Source organism: Homo sapiens, chromosome Y (assembly GCF_000001405.40).
Source record: "Homo sapiens chromosome Y, GRCh38.p14 Primary Assembly".
In the NCBI taxonomy this organism is placed as follows: Eukaryota; Metazoa; Chordata; class Mammalia; order Primates; family Hominidae; genus Homo; species Homo sapiens.
In genome coordinates this window covers 3548764-3555771 of record NC_000024.10, presented here as the reverse complement: position 1 = coordinate 3555771, position 7008 = coordinate 3548764, and the positions used below count along the sequence as shown (strand labels likewise).

Here is a 7008-nt window from a genome sequence, read left to right as displayed (position 1 = left end):
TTTGCAAACAGACACAATTTTACTGCTTCCTTTCCAATTTGGAAGACTTCTACTTTACTTATTTATTTATTTTTGCTTAACTCTTTTAACTAGGACTTCCCATACTATAAAAATAAAATTGAATAAAATAAAATAAAATAAAAATTATGAAAGGAGACATCCTTGTCTTTTTCCTGATTTTAGAAGAAAAGCTTTTAGTCTTTCACCATTGATTATGTTAACTGTGTTTTTTATATATGAATTTTATTATGTTGAAATAGTTTTCTTTGTTTCCTAGCTTTAACTTTTTGAATCAAGTGATGTTGAAATAAATTTTGTTCTGCAACAAGTAAGATGATTGATATTATTTTCCCCTTTATTCTGTTAATGTGGCATGTTACATTAATTGATTTTAGTATGGTAGAGCATCCTTAGATTTTAGCAGTTAATACTACCTGTTCATGGTTTATAATCCATTTAATATGCCATCACTTTTACATTGTGAGTAATTTTTGAGGATTTTTTTTATCAACATCCATCAGAGATAATGGTTTACAGTGTTTTGATAATGCCTTTGTCTTTGTTATCAGGGCCATGCTGACCTCACAGTATGAGTTTGAAAATATTCTATACTCTTAAATTTTTAAAAGAGATTAAGAAGAACTGGTGTTAGTTCTTCAAATGTGTTATAGAATTTACCAGTGAAGTCAAATGTTTGGGGATTTTCTTTGTTGTAAAGTTTTTAATTACTGTTTCAATCTTCTTAATAGCTATAGGTTTTTATAACATAGTAACATCTGGCAATCCTGTTTATTTCTATAAAGTCAATAGTCATGTCTTCTCTATTATGCCTGAATTAGGTATTTGAGTATTATCTTTTTTTGCTTAAGTCAATGAAGCTAAAGCCTTCTCAATTTGTTTATCTTTTTACAAGAATCATCTCATGATGTTATCAATTTTCTCAATTTTTAAATTATCTGTATTGTTTGTCTCCTGTCTTATTTTTGTTATTTTCATCCTTCTGCTAGATTTGTGTTTAAACTTTTCTTTTCCTAGTTTCTTAAGGTATAAAATTAGACTTTTGATTTGAGATTTTTCTTCCCTTTTAATATAATTGCTTATAGTTCTAAATTGTCTTCTTATTACTTTTTTTGCTGCATCTCATACCTTTTGGCTTGTTGTATTTAATTTTCATTTCTCCCATGATTTTTTAAATATTTTTAATAGTTACTTCCTAGATCTATTGGTTGGTCAAGAGTGTTTTTTTTCAGTTTTCACATATTTGTGAATTTTCCATTGTTCCTTTCGTTCTTGATTTCTGGTTGTATTCCACTGAGTTCAGATATGATATTTGTTGAATTTTAGTCTTTAAAAATTTATTGAAACTTGTTTCGGGGTGTAAAATATGAAATTTCCTGAAGATTGTTCCATAATCACTTGAAGAAAATGTATATTCAGTTCTCAATGTGAGGAGCATTCTGTATGTCTATTATGTCAACTTGGTCTGTAGTACTATGAACTTTCCTAGTCTCTACCAATTTTTTGTGTGCTCTTTCTGTTATCAAATGAAATACTCCTGTTTATGTCTCCAGCTATTATTGTAGAATTTTCTATATATTTGTTCAGTTCTGTGAATGTTTGCTTTACATACTTCGGAGCTTTGATGTTTGGTGCATATTTGTTTATAATTGTTATATATTCTTGGTTAGTTAAACCTCCTATCAACATATAATGTTCTTTTTTTGTCTCGTAACAGTTTTTTTACATAAAGACTATTTTATTCTAATATTAGTATAGCCACTACTACACTTCTTTGGTTATTAATATGCATGGAATATATTTCCCATCTTTTTATTTTCCACTATAATGAGTCTCTTGTACACAGAATGTAATTGGATTATTTTAAAACAATTCACCCACTTATCTATGCCTTTCAATTGAGGGATTTAGTCCATTTATATTTTTTAAAAATCCTTATAGGTAGGGGCTTATATTGCAATCTCGTTATCATTTTCTGCATGCTTATTAATTTTTGCATTCATCATTCCCTCCATTACTTCTTCTTTCTCTTGTTTAGTTGAGTTTTTGTTATAGCATGTTTTAATTCTCTTCTTATTTCTTTTTGTGTATATTTCATAGATATTTTCCTTGTGGTTATTATAGGGATTGAATATCATACCTTAAAGTCACAACAATCTATTTTAAATTGATATCAATTAAACTTTATTTGCATATATAGACTCTACTTTATCTCTCTGCCCTACTGCTATGTATTATTAATATCACAAAGTACATCTTTATATATTGTGCATTCATTAAGATAGACTTATACATTTTTATGCATTTTGTTTTTTTAAATTCTGAAGAAAAATTTATATTACAATAATCCTGGTTTTCATACTGTTGATGTATTTAACGTCACTAAATATAGTTATATTTTCATCTGGCTTCACATTAACATCTAGTATGCTTTCATTTTGGCTTGAAGAACTCTTTCTAGCATTTCTTGTAGGGCATGTCAGGTGTATTTTGATTGATAAGGTATGGACTAACAATTCTGAAACTAGTATAAATGCGTGCTAGAATAAACAAGTAAATGAATGTCAGATGTTGATAGCCTTGTTTCTTACTTCTGGAGAACAAGCAAATAAAAATAACTAGATTTATCATTGTTGTAATTGATTACTTAGAAACAAAAGTATGAACTAATAATTACTTCATATAGATAGAGATGATAAATGAGTAACCTTAGATTGATAAATATTTGTACACACATGGGCTAGCATACACGCATACCCCTATTGCTCTGCTAGCTGAGAAGACCTTGAAAAAAGGATACATCAATAACAATAAGAACACCCAGAAACCAGATCCAATAAACTTGGTCTGGTTTTTAGTACCTTTATCCAATAAACAGGAGCAGATTTACCTGGGAAATAATGGATTTTAGGACATTTTAAAAACTATAGAAGATAAACTTGGAGCATTGTGTAATGACAGAAAGTAAAGGAAATACTCAACAATTAAATGATAGGAAACACACACATGCACAATGATTGGGTATGCCAAATTAGCATAGGAGTTTACTTAAAGAGCTCCCAGCGGTGAATAGTGGCTCACCCATGTAATTCCAGCACTTTTGGAGACTGAGGAAGGAGGATTAGTTTAGGCCAGGATTTCCATAACAGTCTGGGCAACAGAGCAAGACTGAACTTGTGCAAAATATAAAACACCTGACTGTGTGTGGTGGCACATGCCTATAGTCCCAGTTATGTGGGACCTGAGGCAGGAGGATAATTTAGACCCCAGAGTTTGAGACTGCAGTGAACAATGATCACACAACTGCACTTCAGCCTGGGCAATAGAGCAAGACCCTGACTCAAAACAAACACAAAACAAAACAAAACAAAACAAAGAAAGAGATCTCAATAACCAAAGGTGGAAGAATTTGAAAAACAAAATGAATAAATTACATTGTAGTATAACATAAGGAAAAAACAAATATGTATGAGTCCACATTGACATAAATAAATGAATAAGTAACTAAATGAGGGACAATGAACAAATGTCCCATTCAGAAGAATTCCAAATAATTTAAATTAGATACTACCCCCACAAGGAGCTCCACTTCATAAGTGTTGGCTGAACATGAGGACATTCTTTTGAGCTGTATAGTACGTGAAGGGGTAAAAATACTGACTTTTATAGTTGAAGAACCCTGACAAACACTAACTTTGCCTAGTGATCAAGGTTAACATTGCCAGTGAGAAAGTGTGTTCATAGCATGTACCCTTGATATAATGTGACACAAAAGACACTTTACCTCCACAATCTTCTGGAAAAAAAAAAAACGTAACCAGTCTACTCATGTGACAAATAATTAGACATATTCCAATTAAGTGACATTCTACAAATTACTTGATTAGTACTTTACAAACCTGCCAATGTCATCAAAAACAAAGAAATTCTAAGATCTGTCATAGACAGGAGGAGCCTAAGGGGACATGATAACTAGTATAATGTGATATCCTGCATGAAGTCTTGTAATAGAAAAAACACATTAGTTAAAATTAAGAAAATTGAAAAAAGTATGGGCTTTAATTAACAGTAATGTATCAATATTGATTTGTCAGTTTTGAAAAATGTGCCTTACAAAGGCAATTTATTAATATAAGGGGGGAAACTGGGTGTTGAATACATGGGAATACTCTGAACTGTATTTGCAACTTTTCTGAAAATTTAAAGATATTCTAAAGAAAACATTACTTTCAAATGAGCTAATGCCAATGTCATCTTTCTCCATTTTTTTTTTCCTTTTTTAAAATCTCTGCTTCCTTCATCCACTTGATAGAGGTTCTTTGCCAAATCTCCTGCTACCAGGGCTAACTTGGGGAATTCTACTTCTTCTATTTTATTTTTCTATATTTAGTGAATTTTATGTCTATATCTTATTTATAGTGGTCAGTGAACCATATGCTATATACATTTTGGGCTTATTCTTTTCTGTCTTTTTTCTTAAAAGCCTCCATATTTTATGCTTTTACTGATCATTCATTCACTCTACAAATATTTCTTGTATATCTAATATATATACCTGGAATTTTGCTGGACACAAAAAATAGAATAAAGAAAACAAATAAGATCTTTTTTCTAATGAAATATACAGGGGAATTTAGAAAGTGTAGCATCTCTATTTATTAAGAATTCTAGATCAGTGGGCATATAGGCCTAGATTTAAAAAACTAAGTTTATCATTTGCTAGCTATTTTATCTTGATTAAATGACTTAATCCCCACAAACCTCAGTTTCTTAACCTATAAAATTGGGAGAAAATAATACCTGCTTCATAAGATTGCATGAGATTTAAATAGTTTACATAAAGGAATTACATGTACAGGTTAAAATTGCTTGATAAAAAGTTGACACTTTCAAAATTTGCCTTACTCCAGGCAAATCAGCTTTTAAAATAAATGCCTATGGGGCACGATTCTCACTTTGTCATTCTCCATTAAGTTCTGCTTGTCAACTATCAATGTTTATATTGTGTATGTGTTTACGTGTGTGTGTGTGTGTGTGTGTGTGTGTGTGTTCATTTCTTGTTTCTCATACTAGGGCAGGGCTTTTGCATTCTTTTATGCTATTTAGCACAGTTTCATGCATATACCAATGTTGCTGATTATGTGGCTAAAACCCTGATTTTTTTTCATTATTTAGAGAATACTTTATTAGTTTCTATAATCAAACCCATGTACATAAGACCTTACATATTTAATACAGTGTGTTACCCCTGTACAAATCGAAAAAAATAAGTTTAATGTTTGTAGACCAATATGGCCGTTAATTTCTGTACAATGCCAACTCAACACAGTAAACTGGGGTACTTTTTCCAAAGTTGACAGCACATCTAAAGTTTCCAAAAATTGAAATTATATATATGTGTGCATATATATATATAGATCAATAACAGCAGTATGTTACGGATCAATAGCAGCAACAGTTTTTCCAGGTTCTGCGGTCATCTGAACAAAATTATAGAGACATCCAGCACACTCCATTTAAAAAAATGGCGGGGGGAGGTAAAAAACAAAACCCCAGAAAACTACAAAGTTCTGTTACTGTTGTGGTACCTGGCACCATTTTTTAAAATTAGCTTCTGAATCATCATGTGGAAAGAAAACATTCTAGAATAACCTAATTAAAAACAGCTCTTATAAAGTATGGTCACTACTAAGTATCATCAAGCAAGTACAAGATATTTTACATTCACAGAGGTATGATACAGTACTGTCCTATATCTATAATACTAGAGGATACAATTAAAAAGGCATTATTCGAGAGTTGATTCTACTTTTCCAGAAGGGGGCCCAAAGGACGGCATGACACAGCTCTGTAAAGAAATGCACCTTCTTAGGATTTCCTTTAATTAGGGGCACAGTTCTAGGTAGTCACTGTTCTTCATGAACATCAGCTAAAAACTGGTGTGATTCAAGTAAAACTCCTGAAACACTGGCCAACCCTCCTGGTGTCTGTCACGGAAAAGTAGAAGAAAAGCCACCCACTGCACCATCCATAGCCACCAAACCTGTTAGAACTGGACCAATCAAACCTCAGATGATCAAAACTGAAGAAACAAAATCTTAAAGGCTATGGTTTATTGCAGGTGATTGGGAGATGGAGAGGGAAAACATGGAGGATTAAGTCATATAATGCCAGAAGCCAAAGGGGCAAAATGGTCTGTAACATTTTCCTGTTCAGAGCTTGGAGATGTACAAGGGACATAGGAGGAATTTACACTGACACACAGCTGCTATACCAGTAAAAATGAGGCTTTGCAAGCTTGCACCTACTATGTTAACATGCGCTGGGCTGATGGCTATGCATCTTCAGTCAGAATTTATATATAAATATATGCACACATTTTTTTTGAGTACATATAATTTAGACCTAAAAATCCTTATGATTAGATGAAACACCAAAAATATAAGGAAAATAAGACTGCAGAGGAATAACTCAGCCTGAACAATATCGTGGTCCCAGCTAATACATCAGGTGTGGTTTTTTTTGCTCCCCTATGTTCTTTGGATATGGTTATGGTGTTTGTAGGCTTGGAGGTGAAGAACTGAAGATTACTGGTACTGGATAGAGGAACTTTATTTTTCATTATGGCAGCTTGCTGTTTTTATAACATGATGATTGAGTTGAACACAATCACAGTACAGTAGTAACTGATCTCCCCTTCTTCCTGGATGAGTGAGCAGATGATTAAATATTGATGTCAGCATCGTTGAACCGTATCAAAGTGAACAGTGTTTGGCTGCTGCTTCTGTTTGAAATGATGCTGTGTTTTGGTTGTGGTCCGAAGCTTTGAAGCACTACTTGGCATCTCCTTTCTTCCATGGAGCTCTCACCATTCAAACATGACAGATTTGTTAAAATACTACTTAGGTTGAGTCTTCCTTGCCCCCACTCAGTCATCATTGCTAGAAACCTGTGGTTTTGGGGTTTTTTTCTTTTTCTTCCTTTTTTTTA

At 32.4% G+C, this 7008-nt stretch overlaps 1 pseudogene; it reads right to left on the bottom strand.

The window, feature by feature from the left end:
* Positions 5183-5963, bottom strand: PRRC2CP1 (proline rich coiled-coil 2C pseudogene 1; annotated as a pseudogene).